The following is a 22,477-nucleotide window of genomic DNA, read 5'->3' as shown; positions in this document are numbered from 1 at the left end:
GCACTAAATATACTGGAACTGGGCTATATCATTACAAGATTTAGGAGGTATGTTAGAAATTAAAAAGAAGAATCTTAGGAATGTTTTAGTCACTAGAAAATATAATGAAACATTTGTTATATATGGAGCCAAGCAAACAACATGAAAGCTCACTTACCAGAGGAGGAAATTAAACTAACAACCATGTACGTGTGAGTGCGTGGGTGTGTGGTGTGTATTTTTGAAGTGTTAAAACTAAAATTTAGACACCCAGAATAAGCACATATACTACTTGTTGCCAGGCAAGATTTTTGGTGTATGAACATAAAGAAGGAAATGACTTTGTTTTTGTGTTTCAAAATTGGAAATATGTTTTATGGTAAGTTTTAAACTATTTTTTAATGGTTGGCATTAAAGAAGTCAATAAACAAATTACAAAGTGAAGTAAATGTAATGGATACAACACAAAACAGTAGAATTAGCCACATGTAGGTCTTTATCAATGGAAGTTGAGTAGTCTAGGGAAATTTCTATTCAAAGAAGACTGTACTACATCCAGTGCCTGAATAGACTGTCATAAAAGGTTCAGCCACTGTTGAGCAATACGAAGTAAAATGTGAAGTTCTGCATTCTATCACTGAATTCACTACTCAAAAGAAGGTATAAAAATTACCTTGTACTTTATATACTGTACTCAATGTAATTTGTATAACAAAGTTATACTGTATTAAGCCAAGTATATTTCACTCTGATAATTTTGAGAAGTCTACTATGTCACAAAATCTAGGAAAATGTTACCTTAGACCCTAATCTAATCATCCTTGATTGAGTCTTAGTCACCGTAGAAATCTCACATGATTTAAAAAACACAAGGATAGGTAGAGATTTGTTAAAGGATACAAAATTACAGCAAGATAGGAGGAATAAGTTCTAGACTTTTTCACTGGGGTCCCCAACCCCTGTGCCGTAGACCCATACCTGGCTGCACAGCTGGAGGTGAGCCATGGGTGAGCGAGAATTACTGCCTGAGCTCTGCCTCCTGTCCGAGCAGCAGTGGCATTAGTTTCTTATAGTGATGGCAGTGGAGGGCTGTCTCGAGTGGCCGCTGCCATCATGCCAGCCACTGCAGGGAGGGTATGGGGAGGAGGCAGATAGCCCCCTGCAGCCTGCCGCCCTAGGGGCCACCATGATGTGTCCGGGCTGGGTCGCCTGTCAGGCCTATCGTGGGCAGAGTCGTGACCTGTGATGGACAGAGGGGCCCCATATTGCGGTCCCAGGTTGGGCAGAGAGGGGCCCTGAGATGAAGCTGGGCCTGGAGTGGTGCTGTGCTTGCCCATGGGGGGAAGGGGCTGGGCCTGGGTCACGGAGCTGGGGCCACACTTTTGGGGCCTGAGGTGGGAATTGGGAGCAGTGCTTGCTTTGAGGACCCGGCCAGCCATGCAGTCACTGTACCCACCCTGCTGAGGGTGCTGGGTTCCTATGCCTTGGGAGGAGGCTCTGCGTGGGGCTGCCCAGGGCCATGTCCATGGGGTCCACCCTGCATTGGGGTGACTGCCAAGCCTGACATTCCCAACGGCTGGGCCTGGGGCCCGTGATCCACTCCCAGAGGAGCCCCTCCCCAGGCAGGGCCCTGAGCCAAATGACGGGGAGCCCCAGGCTGTCCCTGAGCACAGGGCCAATGGGGAGAGCTTGTGTCAATGTCACTCTTACCCCAAATGCTGGCCCCAGCCCGGCGAGAACCTGGAGCCCTGCCCCAGGGTGTGAAGGGGCACAGCCAGGACTGCATGCTCCATGGAGCCAGTGGGAGCCAGGAGCAGGTAGCAGCCGCACCCTCCCAGATGCGGCTTCAGCTACCCAAGTTGGCGCTGTGGACCCAGGCCTCCCTGTGCTGCTTGCAGGCTCTGAAATGCCTGCTCCCGCTCCCTGGCTTCTCCCAGCTGTCAGCGCCTACTCTGATCTCAGAGCAATGTGGGGCTGAGCCCGGTTGCTGTCACAGCCTGGCTGGGGGTGCATACACCTGGGGCAGTGCTGACACACCAGCTGCCTGCTGCCTCAGCTCCCCGCTGCCTCAGCTCCCCCGCTGCAGACTTGGGCACCAATGAGTGTGGGGGGGTTGGAAACCGATGCAGAGCTGAGGGCAGCTCAGTGTGGCCTGCAGGTGCCCCTTGGCACAAGCACCTGGGCTCCATGGAGGGTGGCAGGAGGCAGATAGGCTCCTGGGCAAAAGGGGGCAGGTACCCGGTGAGGCCCCACCTTCAGGCTAGGGATTGCCTGAAGGCTGGGGGCCAGGCTGACAGTCCGGTCGACCAGAATGGGAACTTGTGGTGCCTTTTCTGGGCCTGCCCATGACTGCCTGTGAACCAAAGAATGCACACTTCCTCCCCTCCGAGGCCTGTAAAAGCCTCAGGCTCAGCCAGAGCAGAGCAGATGATGGAATGACCAGCTGCAGAGAGGAGCTACCCTCTCTGCTGAGAACTGAATGCTTATTGTGATGACTTGCCTAGAGAGAGGAGTTACCTTCTCTGCTAGCAGCCTGAATGCTCATTGGTATACCCTGCCTGTGGAAAGAAAACCTGCAGGTTTCCTCTGAGCTGTTCTGTTGCTCAATGAAGTTCCTCTTCATCTTGCTTACCTTCTACTTGTTTGTATACCTCATTTTTCCTGGTCACAGGACAAGAATTTGGGACCCGCCGAATGGCGAGGCTAAAAGAGCTGTAACACAGACAAGACTGAGACCTGCTCCTTGCTTGCCACATTGCGAGTGAAGAGAAGGAGAGAAGAGCTGCAGCCTTTCAGGGATCCCAGACCTGGGAGCTCCCCAAGCCAGGGCTGTGACTCCTTCTTTGGGGTGCTGCAGTTCCTGGTGTCTCCGAGCTTCTGGATGCCACTGTGTTCCCTGGTGTCAGCTGTGGAAGCTACTTGCGGTGTGCCTGTCCCAGCTGCAGCCTGGCAGAGAGCTGGCACCTGTGCTGGCACCTGGAGCTGCCCACCCTTCTGCAGCAGCCGGCATATCTGACTGTGCATTGGCCAGACCCCACACTCACTCTCACACCCCTTGCCGCTCCATGCAGTCTCCCTTGGCAGGTGTGGAATCCAGGCCATTAGTGTGAGCTGAACACAGCCTGCCAGGTCGAGTGAGCAGAATGAGCTCAGTGGGCTGAAGCAAAAATTTGGGCAAAGGCACGACTGGCCACAGAGGTTTCCAGCCAGAAAAGCAACACCCCAAAGATCCCATAATAATAGGAGTGCAAAACCTGTTGTAAACTGTGCATGCCAGGGATCTAGGTTGTGTGTTCCTTATGAGAATCTAGCTAATGCCTGGTGATCTGAGGTGGAACAGTTTTATCCCAAAACCATCCCCAGCCCCATCCCTGTCCATGGAAAAACTGTCTTCCACAAAACCTGTTCCTGATGCCAAAAAGGTTGGGCACTGCTATTCTATACCGCTGTAGGATGACTATAGTTAACAATAATATATAGTTTCAAAAAGCTAGAAGGAAGACATTGAATGTTCCCAACACAAAGAAATGATACATGTTTGAGATGATGGATATGCTGATTATCTTGATCTGATCACTATACATGATATGTATTGTAACATCACTAGGTACCCCATGAATATGTACAATTATGTGTCAAGATAAATAAGTAATAAAATAAAAAGCTTTATCTTATTCCCCAAAAAAAGACAGCTTGAGGAAAGGAAAAAGGAAGATTACTAGCAGAGTTGTAGGCTATTGTCTATGGTACTTTACTGCATGAAGAAGGTACAGAGGCTGAATGGAAGAGGGGTTGTAAAACTGGAGTATGGGCTTTCCTTTCACATGGAGCTTTGTTTAACAGAAGTCTAGAAAGTAGATATAAGAATCATTATCATGGTTAGTTTATGTCAAAACTATACATACTGTCTTATTATACTTAATTAAATGGGTAATCATTTGACTAGTGTGTCTATGAGTTCGTAAGTTGGTACTTAATGGTTATATTATTTAATTCACCTCAGTGGACAGAGATTAAAACAGAGTCATTTTCTGGTTCCTTTTCCTGTGGTTAATTAAGTCCTTTGAGATATGGCTGTATACACTTTATGGTGGTTTACACATGTCTGTTTTATTAGTTTTGCAGACAGTAGACAGGAACAAAAAGGGGCATAGTCATTCTTGCTGTGAGTTAACCCTACACTTCTCCAAGCAGTAGAATGTAAACTCAACTAGGCTTTTGAGAACTTTCCCTCAGTGACTTAATTAATTCCATGCCCATTTCTGGACTTTGGAATATAGCATGCATCTATGTAGCTTGTTTTTTACTTTATCAAATTTAAAATGCTCATTATCGAACATTTATATTTTTATATTAAACTTTTGTAAGTATAACCTGCTTGGTTTCAAATATTTCACATGCAACATGACATTGGTTGGAATAATGTTATGTTGTATGTAAAAGTGTAAGTTGTATGTAAAAGATTAATATCACAATCCTTTGAAATACTTTGCACCTTGCTATTGAATAAAGTTGATGACTTTTAATTCTGTTGACATAATCTAGAACCCATAGGGAAACTCTATGATAATGTTTTACTTCTAGAAAGTCAGTCAATAAGTAAAAACAAAACAGAAAAAACATAAAAAACTTTTATTATCCATGCTTATGAAATGAGATTTCAAATGGAGTCACTTTGATGCATCATACAAATGTATCAAATTATTGAAATTTTGCATCAGCAGGCACCTCAGAGATTAAATATATCCTTCAGGAAATCTAGCCTTATAACAGTATCACTAGCCTTATAATAATCAGGTAGTTGTAGTATCCTGTCCTTTTAGACTTAGTATTGGACTGACAGTCAGGCATGGCAATTCCTGAGCATGTTGGTGGTAGATTGGTGGAGATGGTGCTGGAAGTCACCTCCAGAGCATGGTGAATTTGATAGGCAGGTGGGTAGAATAGCCTCAGAACATTTGACTTTCACTCTATATAAATCTTGTGGCACATAGCCCTTTATATTGGGTTTATTAATAATAATGATAAAAATAGTCATTGTGACTAATAGTAATTGGCACTATGCTTAACACTTTAGATATATTGTCTTATTTAATTCTAACAACCCCCCCTAAAGTAGTAGTAATATTCCCATTTTGCTGATGAAAAAACTGAACCCAAGTATATAGAGCTTGAAAGTGGTGGAACAAAGAGCTTTTCACCCTAGCCAGTCTAACATGCAGTTTTGGTATCTAGATTCCCCCAGTTAGAGATGATGAGCATAATAATCAATTTTTATCTAGAAGATTCAGATGAATACTTGTACATTTTACAGCAATGATAAATATGTGCTTTAAGTACCTTTTAAATATATGAGTTGTGGTGATGTTTACAGTTGATCTAACACCAAAGCTAATAAAGTATCTAACTGTAAGTCTTACAGGAGAAATCATGGGTTAAAAGTCATTTGGAATTGAGGGCACTCTCAGTGCTTAAGAGGATGTTTCTATAGAAGAATACAAGTATCCTGTTTTATACTTGATCTTAGTAAAAAGACCAAGAAGAGATGTAATAGCCTTTGTTAATGTTTGGAAATATATTAAAATTAAAAAGATATTATAAAAGATATATTTTTCTATTTTTTGGAATATTAGGAAAGATGATAATAAACAATACGTATATATTCCTGAACTTCTGACATCAACATTCACACTGCCTTACAAATGCACACTTTCTCATTCTTTTTTCCTAAAATAGAGAAATATCCCCTTCTCTTTCTTAAGAACAAATCTCCTACCTGTTTCTCTTTCTGATGAACACTTACCTTGTAGGTTATCCCTTCTCTCCATTTGATCTTTATCCTCTCCTTCCTTCAATTGTCTGTATGCTGTGTCTTCATTTTCTTACCTCCAACGTTCTCTGCCACCCACACTAACCTGGTTTCTGCTTCCCTCTGGCCTTCTGTTTGTTCTCTCTCAGGTCACTAGTTCTGCCCTCATTATGAAGCCACTTGATGCTTTTCAGATTTCCTTTTACTCTCAGACTCCAAGGCAACATTAGGTGTTGTGGACAGCTACCTCCATCTTTCAACTCACCCTTCTTTGGCTTCCTGAAACCACCTATCCTCTGAGTCACTTTTTTTTTCTTTCGCCTTTATAGCTTATATTCTTTTACTCAGCTATTAAATGTGCGAGTTCCTTTCCTTTTGTATTAGTCTGTTTTTATGCTGCTGATAAAGATGTACCAGAGACTGGGAAAAAAAAGAGGTTTAGTTGACTTACAGTTCCTCATGGCTGGGGAGGCCTCACAATCATGATGGAAGGCAAGGAGGAGCAAGTCACGTCCTACATGGATGGTGGCAGGCAAAGAGAGAGAGGTTGTGCAGGGAAACCCCCATTTTTCAAACCATCAAATCTTGTAAGACTTAGTCACTATCACAGGAACAGCACAGAAAAGACCTGCCCCTATGAGTTACCTCCCACAACATGTGGGAATTCAAAATGAGATTTGGATGGGGACACAACCAAACCATATCTCCTTTATTCTACCTCTTTCAAATATGTGTGTACATGCATGCACACAGGCATAGGCACACATGTGCATGCACACACAGACACATTTTCTCTTTACTAGGTTTCTCCTATTTGAACTCTAGACTAGGTCAGTTTTCTATTATATACTTCAGTAGTACTGTGCTGCTCTTTGTCGTCACATTCATCAAGTTATTTTTATTTCTTTGGTGGTTGATTAATGGCTATTTCCACTCTTTAGGAATACTGTAAACTCTTTAGGAATAGGTACTGTATTTTATTGCATTATGTTATACTTAGTCCTAATTGCTTCACCTTATGTGCTCAAGTCCTAAGAGCTCATAAGTGCTCAACAATTTTTTCAAATGATTTATCTTTATCAGAACTACTTTCAGATTACTTAAGTGAAAACAATCATAGAATTAAAAATTGTTGACATTGAAGGATTATGTGCAGGTGAGTCAGGAAGAAGAACTGGGAGAGCCCACATGTAATTCTAGTTCATATTTAAAGGCATGAGAGCCAGGAGAAATGATGGTGTAGTTTCAGTCCAAAGGCAGGCAGGCTTGAGACACAGAAAGACCTGAATTTGAGTCTGAGGGCATGAAAAGCCAAATTCCTTGCTTGATGATAGTTGAAATTCTCTTGCTTGGAGGAGAGTCAGCCTTTTTGTTTTATTGAGGCCTTCCACTGATTGGATGAGGCCCACCTACACTTTTTAGGGTAATCTGCTTTACTGAGTCTACTCTACTGATATAAATGTTGATTTCATCTAAAAACAACTCCACAGAAACACACAGAATAATATTTGACCAAATATCTGGACACTCCACGTCCTAGTCAAGTTGACACATTGTCTTAGTCTGTTCAGGCTGCTGTAACAAAAATAGATGATGCTGGGTAGCTTATACCCTACAGAAATTTATTCCTCACGGTTCTGGAGGTTGGGAAGTCCAAGATCAAGGTGCCTGCTGTTTCAGTTGTCTGACGAGGGCCTGCTTCCTGTTTCATAGGCAGCTGTCTTCTTGCTGTAACCTTATGTGGGGCAAGAAAGTAAGGGAGCTCTCTAGGGCCCATTTTATAAGGGCACTAATCCCATTGATGAGGGATCCATCCTCATGACCTAATCACCTCCCAAAGAGCCTCCCTCTAAATGCCATTACATGGGGAATTAGATTTCAACATATGAATTTGGGGGGACACAAATATTCAGCACATATAAAATTAACCATCACATTGATCAAATGAACATTTCTTATAGGCTGCTTTCAACTAGTTTTTTCAAATGTGCAATCCATAGGCCATGTTTAATCTATGCCTGATTTTTCAGTCCCTCCACGTGTTGAAGCTACTTTTTTAGTCTGATCGTTTACAAATTTCCTGTAATAACCAATGTTTTAGCTAGATTTGTTGCTTTTTATAGCATAAATCTACTTTTCTTAGTGCTTTCACTTTGCTAATGTTGTTTTCCCTACTTTAATGAGCCCATTCCCTACTAATATTATTTTGTTTAGGACTTATCTAGCTTTCACAGATTCAGAGTGCGTTTCAAACATCATCGTGAAACTACCTCCAAAAATTCTGTAACTACCATTCTCTGTACAACTATCTTGGTCCTTTTTACACTTTATAGTCCCCTCTTCGGGGATATGTTCCAAGATCCCCCGTGAATGCCTGAAACTGGATAGTACCAAGTCTGATTATAATTACTGGAAACACATTTCTGTTCCTGTCTTCTATCCACAAATTTAATGCCTTTTCCATCTTAACTAAGCACTTATCATGGACCGTGGCTATAATTTTTGCAGTTTGAAGTGCAACAACAAGACTAGCATAGATTCCTTCCTCAAAATGTTATGGTAGAAGATTCATTTTTAGCATAGATGTTATCAATCTCAGCATATTAATGTTTTTTTTTCTTTCCTAATTAGGTCAAGAACTTTCACCTTTTCAATTAAAGGAAGCATTTTACAACTTCTTTTGGGAATATCTGAGTTGTTAGCACCACTACTCTGGGGCTATTACTAAGTAGAATAAGGGTTACATGAACACAAGCACTGTGACAGGTGGCAGTTGGTCTGATAACCGAGAAGGCTACCAAGTGACTAATGAATGGGTAACATCTACAGAATGGATACATTGCACAAAGGGAGGACTCCTGTCCCGGGTGGGATGAAGCAGGGCAGCATTAGATTTCATCACATTGCTCAGAATGGCATCCAATTTAAAACTCATTAATCGTTTATTTCTGGAATTTGTCATTGAATATTTTTGGATCAGGGTTGACCAAGTGTAACTGAAACAGCAGAAAGCGAAAGTGCAGATAAGAAGGGGGCTACTGTACTGTTATTCAGCCTGTTTTTTCTGTTTCCCCTGAGAGCATATAAAGTCCAGGGGGAAAGGACCAGCCTTATGTGTGTGGGTATTCAATACTCTGCACATTATATACTGTAGTAAATGTATTGAATAAACTTTCAGCTATCTAATATGTTTCTGGTATGTCAAATGGGTGTATGCTTGGCACAATGCTGGTTCTCTTTCCAGGGAGCACAGTTACTTGTCTAATCTTTTTTAAAGATTTGAGTGAAACCCTCTCACCCTCTCAACTGTTGACCAACTTTTGACTTCTTAAGAATTTGTTGAGAATAGGAAATTTATTCTACAACCCCATTGTAGCTCATTCTACTTTCTGAATGACATTCTTGCCTTTACTGTCTTACTAATTCAAAAGGAAATGACAATTTTTTTCTCATATTTGATTCAATTCAGCAGATACTTTGTTGATAGCCTTCAGTGAGCAAAGTGTCACATCAGGTACTGAGGTTGCACAAAGGTGAATATGATATAGTGCCTGCCCTCAGGGGGCTCACAAGCTCATGGGGAAGTGAGGAGGCCAGGGAAAAGAGAGGTTTGTGTTTAGCTAATTCTCATGCAATACAGCGTAAATGAATATTTGGGGAATAATTTATATGTAATTTGTGATATAGTTTGGCTGTGTTCCCACCCAACTCTCATCTTGAATTGTAGTTCCCATAATCCTCATGTGCTGTGGGAGGAATCAGGTAGAGATAATTGAATCATGGGGACAGTTTCCCCTACTCTGTTCTCATGACAGTGATTTAGTTCTCACGTGATTTGATGGTTTTATAAGGGGCTTCCTCATTTGCTGGGCACTAGTTATCTCCCCTGCCCCCAGAAGAGATGCCTTCTGCCATGATTGTAAGTTTCCTGAGGCCTCCCCAGCCATGCAGAACTGTGAGTTAATTAAACCTCTTTCCTTTATAAATATCCTAGTCTCAGGTATTTCTTCATAGCAGCGTGAGAATGGACTAATAGAATTTGGGTGTATGATCCCTTCCCCATGGAGCTTCCAACCCAGTTGGGGATTCAGCTAAATAAATACAGATGAACATGGAAAAGACTCTGATAGGACCAGCACAGATGGTTAGGAAGTATGTATGGGGGGCCTGTTCCTCACACTTGCTTATATAATAATTTAGTTGACACTCTCTTTTTTGATGTGATGTGGACCAATTCATGTTAAGTTAATAAAAGTTGGCCCCAGTATGGGATCATAGACTTGATACTTCAAACATTTTATTTTACCTTAAGTTTTATAAATCTATATTTATTTACCAATTTACTGATCTATGACCAAAGCTTTCTTGGTTCTAAGTATAGGTTCTCTCATTAGCATTTGCTGTCATATTTTTTCATAACCACTCAATATCCAGTTTTACTCTTTATAAGTAGTATAAGTAGACTCTTGCAAAGCATCCTAAGTTCAGAGTCCTTCTAGAGTTGTGATTTTCCCCTTTTATAATTGTTTTGCCTCATATAATTTGGCTATTTCTTTTATAGACTTATCGTTGAGACTTTTCAAAACATTCAATTGATTTTCTTAGAAACAATTGAATTTTTCTTACTCAGCTGTCTTTATTTTATTTGAAATGTAGTTCAATTATATGATTAAAGTAACTTGTCCCCAGTGTTTTAAACAGGTGTAGGAATGAATGCGTGGGACTGTGGGAAGCATGCCTGACAGTTAGGTGGTAGGAACAGAATGTGTGGGCAAACAAGAAGACAGCAGCTTCCTAATTGAGAAGACTTCAGGTGGGGCATCATTCAGTAGATTTTGTGGTATGCAGAGTGTCAGTTAAGTTTAGGACCTAATTAAGGGGAGGTCAGTTAAAAGAGCTTCTGATGTAAATAAAGCAAATTTGCAATAAGAACATGTCCGCCCTCTAATCACTTGTTTATAAAACGGCTGCCCTCTCCTCCACAGCACTATCTGATTCAACACTTTCATGGTTTGTCAATATTGATAACTTATTTTTAAATAAAAAAGTGAAGTATATATATTTTTTTTCAAAAGCCACTGCTTCCCAAGCTCACATCACAAGAAAAAGTAGCAACTTTTTCTGTTTATGTTCTTTTTTGTTGATTCTTTTCTCCACAATATCAGATTTGTGTCATGAGATGGTTCAAACATTACTAGCTCTGCTTGAGCCCCTCAGAGAAAGATATGTGTATACATACACATATATGTTAGTAATTTGTGATTGATATTCTTTGCTTATAGACTTGATTTTTTTGTTTAATATAGTATTCTGTTTTTAGGAATCATACTAAACTGTTTCCTCCCTGTATGGCTGATTATAAGCTATGACTAGCAAACCAGATTTTATTTGCAGTTGTTTGAAACTTCATTTTTCTTATATGACCTGATTAATGCACTCTGAACATGAATCAGTGTATCCTGCCCTGTTCTTTGTTTTGAATACATCTGTCATTTTCTGCCTCACATTATTTTCCTTGATTTCAAGTCACTTGCTTCTTATTTTCAAATAAAATAATTTTTAAGAATATTATTCTGCTTCAGTCAATTTTTGCTCAGAAGACCGCTCCAACGAACAACCCTAAACTCTTAGTGGTTTATAGCAACAGAGGTTTATTTCTTGCTGACAAAGTATAGGCTGCCAGAGGCTATGACTCTGTCCACAGCTTGGCTCCACATGGCATCTGAAGATACAACCCTTATCAGGGACATGTGTTTTCCTGGCAGAGGGGAAAGAGAGCGGCGGCCAAAATGTGATGATTTTTAAAGCTTTCACTTGGACGTGGTTCACTTTGCTTCTGTTCACATTTCATCGGTTAGTGCAAGTCACCCGGCCAAACTCATAAGGTATACCCACTCCCCAAAGGTAACTTTCTGAGTCACATAGCAAGTTGGGAAAGTCCTCTTACTGGGAAGAGAGTGAATAAACAGGAATCCTGTCTATTACAGTTATGTCTTAAAGACTTTTGGTTTTATTGTTGGATTATAGATACATTTTGTGAATTTTAATGTGGAAATGATTTTTTTCTTGATGTTTGTCAGCTTTGTATGTTGAGTGCTATAGACATATCGATACACAGGTTAAGACTGATTCAGGAGTTTAGTAAAGAAGCTTTATATGAGAGGATATTAAATATGAAATCTTTACTGTTTCATTCTGTTTTCTTTTTTGCACCTTCATCGCTTGTCTTTTATTTCTATTGATTATTGGATAGCAGTCCAGAGACTTTTTTTTTCCTCTACACTGGTATAAGTTGTTCATTTATAAGCCCTTGCATTGTTTTGAAGATAATTCCCTTTTCCATGGATTACCCATTAGTCATGTTAGCTGGATAGTGTGGATTTTCACAATTTACTACCTTTTCAATATAATGAATTGTACCTTTGCCAATTTCACAATCATGGTTTTTCTTACAGTGTCCACATGTGGATAGCAGCCTGCCAACAAGTAAACAAAAACTGAGTTAAGCGACATACAGATACAGCTGAAATACCAAATTACCCGTGGCCTCTCCTGGAGTTATATTTATTTGCACACAGTGGGGACTAGTATTTCCTTGTGAAACAAGAGACTTTTACTGTTTTGAAATAGCAGAACTGAACCTCAGATGCATGAGTTCATTAGGATAGATTTATCCTAGTGAGGCATGGCACTTGAGAAGAGACAAAGAGCAAATTATCAGAGAAGGTTGAGGTGTACACATAATGCCGGATGTGGAAGGGTCATAGAGAATTTGAAAATTAGATTTATTGCCTAGATATCTAGGAGTAAATGTTTCTGTGTAGTGATAGAAGCAGAAATAATTAGACTGGAAGGCATCTTGAGTTCATTTGGTCCTAACCATTACCACAGTACAGAAGTAGTCACATTGATAAAATCTTATCAAAGCATGGCTTATGTTACGCTATGTAATTTTGGAGAATGGGCCTCTCAACCTTACAAGGTTGTATATTCCAGCTTTTCATAGGAATCCTAGTTAAGTATTTCTCTTAATTCCATACCATGCTTTGCTTTAGTAGGGTGAGGTCTGAGAGGGAAAGCAGTAATCAGATCAGCCTCTATATGTACTTTTCCTTTTAAATTCATTAACTAGACTCCCCTAAAGATGAGTTTATTTCACTTGTGATTGAGTCTAGCTCTAGAAGGGATGAGATTATAAAGTCCAACTCTATCATTTTACAGATAAAATAAGAGTACTGATGATAAGAGGCTTCCCCAAGGTGACAGAGCCTCAGAGCGGCCAAGCCAAAGCCAGAAGATAGTCTTGATAAAGTGTTCTTCCTGTCATATACCACATATAAGGAACTACTCTAAGAATATATTAATATCAGATGTAGCTAGGTAATGGAATGTAAGCTTCTCCTGTGCCTGAGACTGAGGCCACAAAGTTAACTGTATGTTTTGAGCCCAGTGCTTGACCAAAAAAGAATAATTTTGTAAGTCACTGAAGTAAAGAGAAAGAATAAAAAATTATATGGGGCCAAATTCCCTTCAGCCCATAAATGCATTGGATTATTTTAGGCTCATTTGGAAAATATTTTATCTAGTGAAGTTAAAATTATAGTTGCATAATTTGATAACTAATTCTACTTCATTCCTGACCTGATTATTCTAGTTCTCATGATGCTAGTCCTAGCCTCAGGTTCTAGATTGGCTCTAGAATTTACTATTTGTGGGATCTTTACATTTTATTTTTCATCTCTGAGCCTCAGTTTTCCCATATGTAAAATGCAGGTGTGTTGGAGGGGCTCCTTTGGAGAAGTTCCTATTGGAGACAGACCTTGATGCTAATCATTTCCTGTCTGCCAGATATACTTTACATATTCTATATTATTTAATCCTCAAAACAATTCTTTGAAGTAGATACTATTGAACCCACTTTATAGATGAGGAAAGCTAGACTAAGACAAGTTAAGATAACCTTGCTTAAGATCTGTAACTAATAAGTTATATACTAGGATACAAATTCAAGTCTATCTGACTCCCAAGCCAGTATCTATCCAGTGTACTGGACATTTCCATTCCTATCTCCAAGGGTTCCATGAAGGTAAGATGAGACAAAGTACATGAAAAACTAGAAACTGCAAAGTGCTATATAAAAGAGGGATACTGTTATTTCTTCTAAGTGTTCTTGGCTACGTAATTAGCAGAAATTAGCAGTAGAGTCCAGTCCAAAGCATTAATAAGTCTAGGGGCATTGTATTTTCTATTTTACAATGAGGACATTGAGGCCCATAGGGATAAGAAAGATGCCCACATAGCCATGAAGTGACAGAGCACTTCCTAATCGGGTTCCAAAGCCTACCATCTGGCTGGCTTCTACAGTACTTTGCCTCAGGCCTTGATATTAGCCCTTGGCATAGGAGCTGGGATTCTGTTACCCACGGATTGATTTTCTGTGATGGAACTTCCCACCCAGTGTGCTGAGATACCTTGGGAATCTAAGAATTAGGTTACTAGTGTGAGGTGAGATACTGATGATAGTAGTTTTTTCTTATAGTGTTAAGACCATTTACATAAAGTTAACCATTCAAAATTTGTGAAAGTCCAAATGTTATTTGAATATCACTGTATTTATATGACTACTCTTCTAAACTTTCTGAATTTAGCAATGATTAATTTGATGCATAAGAAGTTTGTTGGTGCCCCTGCCTCTAGAGAATGCTCTGTAATGGCCACACCACATGGCACTACCTCTGACTTTTCTGCTGAAGCAACCTAGCCAGGTTATTGCTTTTTTTCTGGATTTGTTTATCTTTATTACAAAAGTTTTTTTGAAAACCATGACAACCATCATATTTGGAGAAGCTTTTGTGTGTGTGTTTGCCAGCAAATCTGAATTCCATATTATATGATGTTACCAAAATGACCAGTCTGATACAATCTAAGCCACTGCTATTGTTTTTCAGCTTTGTTCAAAGAAGCAAAATTCTACTCTCTTCTTTTCTTATCAGAATGCATTCGTTGTCCGAAGGAAGGGCTTTGCGAGTCGATTTGTCATCTAAAATAATTTTTTTGGTTGGGGATTATGAATGACTCACTTTGTAGATTTGTTGACTGAATTGACTAATATTCTACGGTACCTTAGTGAAGGTCCACATGAAATTATATTTATGTGTACAGAGAAGAGATAGATTTAAAGCAAAAATTCACAGTTAGTGTTTTGTTTCGAATCTGTAAGAAGAATCATTATTAAATACAGCAGCATCTTTGAATGCTTCAGGGAAAACTTCATTACCTTGGACTCATCCTTGACCCTTCCTCTCTCACACTCCATATACAGTCTGTCAGGAAATGGCATCTGCTTTCCCTTCAAAGCATGCTCAGAATGATTACTTTCCACTGCCTCCACTACTCACTGCTACAGTCCTCATCGAGTCACCACTATCTGTGACCTGGCTTAGTTTAATAGCCTCCCAGCTGTAAATAAATAAAGGAAAAGCTGAGTAAGCTTTTTATTAATATGTGTTGTTTTTCTTCTGGCACAAGTATTTTACTACCTATTATTTTAAAAATATTGAGCAAGTATTATGAGATTAGCTTGCACTTGATAATTCTTTTCCACTTGAGAAAATCATCTTTTGGGGAGGTAAAAGCAACACATATTAGAAATTCATTGATCACATGAATTAAGTGACAAAAACCACAGAAGTAAATGATGTGCCCAATTGAAGTTAAGACAGTTGATATAGAGAACTCCTAATTAAAAGTTCCTACATGAATTTAGTAGATTAGAGAAAGTTTCTTGAAGGAGGATGAAAGTGAGCTGCGCCTCAGAGCACATGGAGGAGTTATAGCAAGGGGCCAAGTGGCATCTTTGCAGTTGTACTAAGGTGGGAATTAGCTCTGTGTTTTCTGAGAAGTGTACTAGTTTGATGGAAGAAGAGGAGCAGGTACATTTGAAGGAGATTTGGGGACAAGAGAATGACATGAAAATTCAGATGATGGGAGTTCACTTGGTAAGCTGTTGGAGTCGTCTCTGGGAATATGACTGGTCCTAAATGTTGAGAATCCTGATGTGGACCTGGAGATGGTGAAGGAGGTAGACCCAGTCAATATTGTTGTTAGGAAATCTTAAGTGGAGTTAAGAATGTGATTTTGGAGAGCATGATGGGTGTAGTTAGGTATCCAACTATCCTAGTTTGCCCAGGACTCTCTCAGTTTTAGCACTGAGTAATCCCTATCCTTGGAAACCCCTCAATTGCAGGCAGACTTCATGGTTGGACACCTTGGGTATGGTTCAGACAATTGATTGGTATCTGAGGTCCAAACCAGAGCAACACTTTAACATGTTAACAGTGGAAGAGAGCATGACAACAGGAGATCCAGGGCAGAGCATTTAAGAGCTCTACTAGGCAGGCAGATTTATTTCAAAAGTAATAAATAACAATAAGTAAGAAAAACAACACATATTATTAAAAGCTTACTCAACTTTTCCTGTATTTATTTACAGCTGGGAGGCTATTAAACTAATCCAGGTCATAGATAGTGGTGACTCGATGAGGACTGTAGCAGTGAGTAGTGGAGGCAGTGGGAAGTAATCATTCTGAGCATGCTTTGAAGGGAAAGCAGATGCCATTTCCTGATAGATTGTATATGGAGTGTGAGAGAGGAAGGGTCAAGGATGAGTCCAAGGTAATGAGCTGGATGTCTTATATTTTGGCTGAGAGCATTTTGACCAAACGAATTGTAATCAAAGCAGCACGGTAAAAGCAACTTTGTGTGATAGTTTGGTTGAAACAGACTTTGGACACAAAATGAATATGTTAACCACTGGCATTCAAGTTTTTATTAAATAGTAATGATAGTAACTACCACTCATGAATGCTTTCCACATGTAGGGCATCTGGCTAGACTTTGCAAATATTACCATCTTTAATCTTCACAGCCATCCTATGAGATAGGCACTACTATTTTCTCCATTTTACAGATGAGGAAATTGGTGGTTTGGGAGATTAGGCTGTTTGCTCAGTCACATAGCTAGTCAATCTAGAGTGAGACTTTGAACCCTGAGCATCCCAAAGTCCTGCTCTCTTTGGTTGCCATATAGTACTGCTTCCTGGTATCAAGGAACAGGGTTCATTAATTATCCATTGTTATCTTTTACTACAAAAGTAATAAATAAAATAAATTAATTAATTCTAGGAAAATTATAAAATGTAGAGGAGCAGAAGATGACTATACAAAGTACTCACGATTTCCTCCATTAGAAACAGCCCTATTAACACCATTGTTTACATATTATTTTCTTTTTTGGGCATATTGATTTACATACATTTTTAAAAATTAAAATGATATTTGATAAATGTTTTAAAACCAATTGTTAGAGATTTGACTTTTTTTCAACTTATATTGTTGGGCCAGTAGGCTATGGTGACTTTTTGATATTACAAACACTGTGCAGTAGAAGTAATGAGCCAAAAAACAACATGCAAATAAAATAAAGCAAAATGAAATGAGACTAAAAAAAGACAAAAAATTCAAAACAATAGGCAAGAGATGAATAACAATTGTAAAACCATTCATTCTATAAATATGTTGTATTCAAATTATAATGCTTTGAAAACTGATGGCTGGGGAATATTTGCTTTTGAGCAGGCCTTGATGTTGAACAAGTTTCTAAGTGTTTTTAATAAAATCACCTGGAGCCAGTGACTTGAATCACAAGCAGGATCTCAGCCCTTAGGCAGAGTCACAGGAATGTGGCTCATCTTAAGTGTATATACAAGGCGTCCAGGAGGGACTGTGCTCAAGGGAATAACCTAAGACCAGAAATGATAGATATAGTAAGGAGAATTAATCTCAGTATGAGAATATTAAACCAGTGATCAAATCTGAACCACAAGGTTATTGCTAGGCTAACAGTAACATGACGACAGGAAGCTGATACTGAGTCCCAGAGCATTGGGGCAACACCCTTGTCTTAGTCCATTTGTGTTGCTATAAAGGAATACCTGACACTGGGTAATGTATTAAAAAATGTGTATTTGGCTCACAGTTTTGTAGGCTTGTACTGAAGTGTGGTGCCAGCATCTGCTTCTGGTGATGGCTTCAGGCTCCTTCTACTCATGGTGGAAGGTAAAGTGAAACAAACATGTGTAGTGGTCAAAGAGGGGATAAGGAGGGTGCCAGTCTCTTTCTAATAATCAGCTCTCTGGGGAAGTAATAGAGGAAGAACTCATTCATTATACTGAGAACGGCACTAAGCCATGTATGAGAGGTCTGTCCCCATGACCCAAACACTTCCCATCAGGCCCCACCTCTAACATTGGGGATCACATTTCAACATGAGGTTTGTGGGCACAAACACCCAAACTATAGCAACTGTAAATCCTTCCTGCCAAAGGGCATGAGATTAGGCCTGGGATGAGCCTCCAGGTGGACAAAATGGCTCCAGAAATTAGGGATCTGGCAGGCCTTGTCAATCTGAGGTTTGTAGGGAGGAGAACAACACCATGAAGAGTTGCAGGATTTGTAGGATGATCAAAAATTAGTGCAGTGTATGCAAGGAAGTGACTTAAGAGGATACTTCTTAATAGTATTGGGGTAGCAAATGAAAGGAAAGAGACTGTTGGTCTGCACAGTGGTTGGAATTATATGTACAGAGATATCCAGACATTCCCATTAAATAAATAGATTGAAGTAATACCTGTAACTATATTCCTCTTTATATCACATTTTTTGGCAAACAGAGAAAAACCATGCAGCTGGTCCTGTGGAGCCTGGAATGCTGCCATTACTTTCATTAAATTAAAGTTTTAGCTGGTATATGAAAATTTTCTTTTATTACAGAGCCTCTAAACAGACATGCCATATCCTGTGATTACAGTTTAAGTTAATGGTATCATGTTTTAAAATTAAAAATTATTATCTTTCCTTGGTGCTATCAAAACCATCACAAAATTAATCACTAATATACTAGGATGACGGTTCAATTAACTTTCATGGATATTGATCAGATAAACACTAATATTTATTATTGCATTCTGAAGTCTTTATTAGGTTAGTGGGTTACCCAAACAGTTAAAAACTCATCTAATAAAGACCTGGAAAATGCTGCTTTTGAGTTAAAGAGACCTCTTGCTTAGTGTCTATATATTTTTTGCTTGTTTGCTTTTGTTGCACTAAGAATACCAATAGTATATAAGTTAATTCAGTGATCTTAATTAGAAATAACCTTTTTAATGTTTTTGGATATATAAAATTTAAAAACTTCCAAGAGTGTTCAAAATGTTATAGGAATGTCTATACATTAAGTGTAGCACATGATTAGATTTGCTTCAGTGCTTTGAACTTTTGAATCAAGCCTTCCTTCCATAGGATTGGATGCATATGATCATAATTTCTGTCTCTTCCATGAAATTTTCTAATATATATTGTTTTAAAATTACAAAGTAGTCATGCTTATTATTCAAAAAAGCCCTCCCAAACTAAGACAATGTTGAATATAGCCCCTCTCCCATCCTCAAAATAACTGTATGTACAATTTGATGCATGTCTTTGCAATTTTTCATGAAGGTTCTAATTGTGTTTACATATATACATAAATCTATGCATGCATACACTCTCCTTCCTCCCCTCTCTCCTATTCCTTCCCCTCTCACATCTTCTCCTTTGTCTTCCTCCTCCTGCTTTTAAACATAAGTGCTATGATATTGCCAAAGAAGAGAAGGCTTTGTTCTGTGCTCTGTGCTTTATTGAATTTCATTCATTGGTGGACCTTACTTTCTTTGTCCTTTCCTGCCTTTGCCACTATGAAGGTTCAATAAATTCAGTCTCTGTTTTGCTTTTCTTTATATTCAGCAGCCTCACTAGGAACCCTCCCAGAACAAATCCTTAACTATGTAAAAGAGAGCAATTCTGGGTGCTTTCTCCTGGGGACAGCCCGCTTTACAGCTTCAGTTCTGGCTTCCCTGGTGATTGGCCCAAGGCCCAGCATGGCTTTTGTATCAGTTGATTCCAAGTGTGAAGTTTCTCTGGGGTTTCCTTGGAAAGAAGGTTCTTTGTAGCATTCCTCTTCTGTGTCTGTTATTGGTCGAGGTTTCCTCTGCATTAGTTATCTATTATTTCGACTATGTCTGATTTCTGTTTTCCAGGACTTTCTAAAATATCTTGATATGTTGATGGTGGACCTTGTTTTTTTTTTTTTTCTTTTTCTCGTGTCTGTCATTTCTGTGGGATTTAGAGACCAAAGAGGTGAGGTACACATGATGGCTCCATCAACACCTTGAACTTCCCAGATGTCTAGTATTTTTTCTATTTCGGGACCAGGTTTCAGTAAATTCTTTCAGGGGACGAACTTATTTGCACTTCCTCTGGTTTGTGTTAGAACTTGAAAGGCTTTTTTTTTTTTTAAGTTTTGTGTTAGTGTTAATAATAACGAAATCATTGATATCTCATTGCTCTCTGTCTGCATGTGTGAATGACACTGTTGCATGACAACTACATTTATAGGCCACCACAAAGTGTTGCTTGCATAAGGCCAGTTAGTGATGCAAAATTCACTTTAAAAATTGAACATAATTTCATTTGACATGTGTAAATGTCACTTTTTGTCATATGTATTTGTATTTTATTTGCCAGGTAACTGAATATTGTCACCTGCCTTTTTCAGCACCCAGATCAACTAGAAATAAAAAAAAGTAATAACTTTTCATGCACACATAGTACTCCATTAATGTATCTTAAAATTATTTCTTAATTACTATCAGAAACAAATGAATGGTTCAGCATTTAAAAAAATTTGTTTCAGGAAGGAGAAAACATTTTCTATTTGGCAGTTGAAGATATAGAAACAGACACGGAGCTTCTGATTGGCTACCTGGATAGTGACATGGAGGCTGAGGAGGAAGAACAGCAAATTATGACAGTCATCAAAGAAGGGGAAGTTGAAAATTCTAGAAGACAATCAACAGCGGGCAGAAAAGGTATTGCATCTTTAATTGGTGATCTGGGAGAAGAAAAGTTGTAGAAAAAAGTGTAGTTTAAACTGTGGTTGAATTATAGTTGCCTTGTAATATGGCATTCTCAAATAAAGTTAGTTTTTGTCAAAATTATTCTCGAGGGTATCCTGTGGTGGACTCATCTTTGTTACAGCAGGAAAAGTATTTTGGGAGTGGGTGATGGATGTACCCTATAGGACTGCCTAGGCCGCAGGCAGGGCTGCATTGCTAGGGCAGCTCCCGGCTCTCACTGCTCTCACTGGCGCATTGGGGTAATGAGTAGTGAGGATTTTTATAGTCTTGCCATAGCTCTGCCACTAATCAGTCTTGTAACGTTGGGCAAGTTGCTGACTTTCTGAGACTTTACTTTCTCATCTGCATATAGGAAAAGGTGAGAGTGGAGGTGAGGTACACAAGAGAGCCTGCTGGATCCGAAGGGGATTGATTCCTCTTGTTTGGGATCTTTTGGGAACCTGCAGCTTCTTGGCATCTCTTTCTGTTCTGATCACAGAAGCCTGGAGGATTGCTAGGTTGCCCTAGTGTGGTTACCAAAAACTTTCAGTGACCGTAGGTCAGACCTTCCTCAGTCAATACTGCAGCCACTTGCTTGTTAACTGCCAGGGAATAATCAATTATTATTGGCCTTGTTTCTATTATGTTGTGTTTTACTCCTAAGGGAAATTTAAGGGATATATGAATGATGCTATAGGTATTCACATTTTGTAATAGGCCTCGTCTTTATCCTTTCAGGCTGTTATAACAAAATACTTTAGACTAGATACTTGGTAAGCAGCAGAAATTTATTGCTTACGTTTCTGGAGCCTAGGAAGTCTATCAAGGTGCCAGCAGATTTGGTGTCTGGTGAGGGCCCGTTTCTAATTAGATAGCACCTTCTAGCTGTGTCCTCATGTGACAGAAGGGACAAGCAAGCTCTCTTGGGCTTCTTTTACAAGGGCATTAAGCCCATACATGAGGACACAGTGCTCATAACCTAATCATCTCCTAAAGGGCCCACCTCTTAATACAATTCCATTGCGGTTTCAGTTTCAACGTATGAATTTTGGGGATTCACGAACATTCAGACCATAGCAGGCTGATACTTACTATACAGTACTTTTCCATTTTGTGTAGCAAAGCCACTTCAGAAGTGATACTGGTTTCATTAGTCAAAGTGGTAGTATGCTTTTCCTGTACTTTTTCTGTTCTAACTGCATGTTATTGGCTGAGAAAGTGTGAACATTCTGTCACCATTGCCAGCTTATGCTTCTGTTTCTTTATTTTAGTTGAATTATTTAAGGGGAAGATAAGGACAGGCTTATATGCATTATGCTATTTGGAATATCATATTTTGGGTGATGGGAATTATTTCTGTGTTATTCTGTGTTTTCTTTGTTTTTGTATTTTATTTTTTCCCTGTTGTCCCCAGGGCAAGTTATTTTATCCATTATTTTAATTTAAAAATAAGTAATCTACTTACCTATTACTGCCCTGATTTCTGCTTTAGTTATTAAAATACCAGTTTTCATTATCTTTGTAAAAAGAATCAACAGAAACTTAAACAGAATTTTTTAAACACATGAACCAAGCACTTGCATTGTGGCTATTTTGGTTTTTTTAAAATTTTATTTTATTATTATTATACTTTAAGTTTTAGGGTACATGTGCACAATGTGCAGGTTTGTTACATATGTATACATGTGCCATGTGC

At 39.2% G+C, this 22,477-nt stretch overlaps 1 protein-coding gene across 22 annotated transcripts in view; it reads left to right on the top strand.

Annotated features, from left to right (window-relative positions):
• Positions 1-22,477, top strand: part of PRDM5 (PR/SET domain 5) — a 238,436-nt gene that overhangs the window by 80,802 nt on the left and 135,157 nt on the right. For all 22 annotated transcript variants that reach the window (XR_938678.2, XR_938680.3, XR_938679.2 and 19 more), the window contains exon 4: positions 20,580-20,754. Coding sequence is in view for 19 of the 22 variants with exons in the window: in XM_047449558.1 (XP_047305514.1) it covers positions 20,580-20,754 (175 nt within the window). In the remaining 3 variants the exon portion in view is untranslated. The remainder of the gene's footprint in view (positions 1-20,579; positions 20,755-22,477) is intronic.

The sequence above is a fragment of the Homo sapiens genome, chromosome 4 (assembly GCF_000001405.40).
Source record: "Homo sapiens chromosome 4, GRCh38.p14 Primary Assembly".
NCBI classification, from domain to species: domain Eukaryota; kingdom Metazoa; phylum Chordata; class Mammalia; order Primates; family Hominidae; genus Homo; species Homo sapiens.
This window is presented reverse-complemented; position numbering and strand designations above follow the sequence as displayed.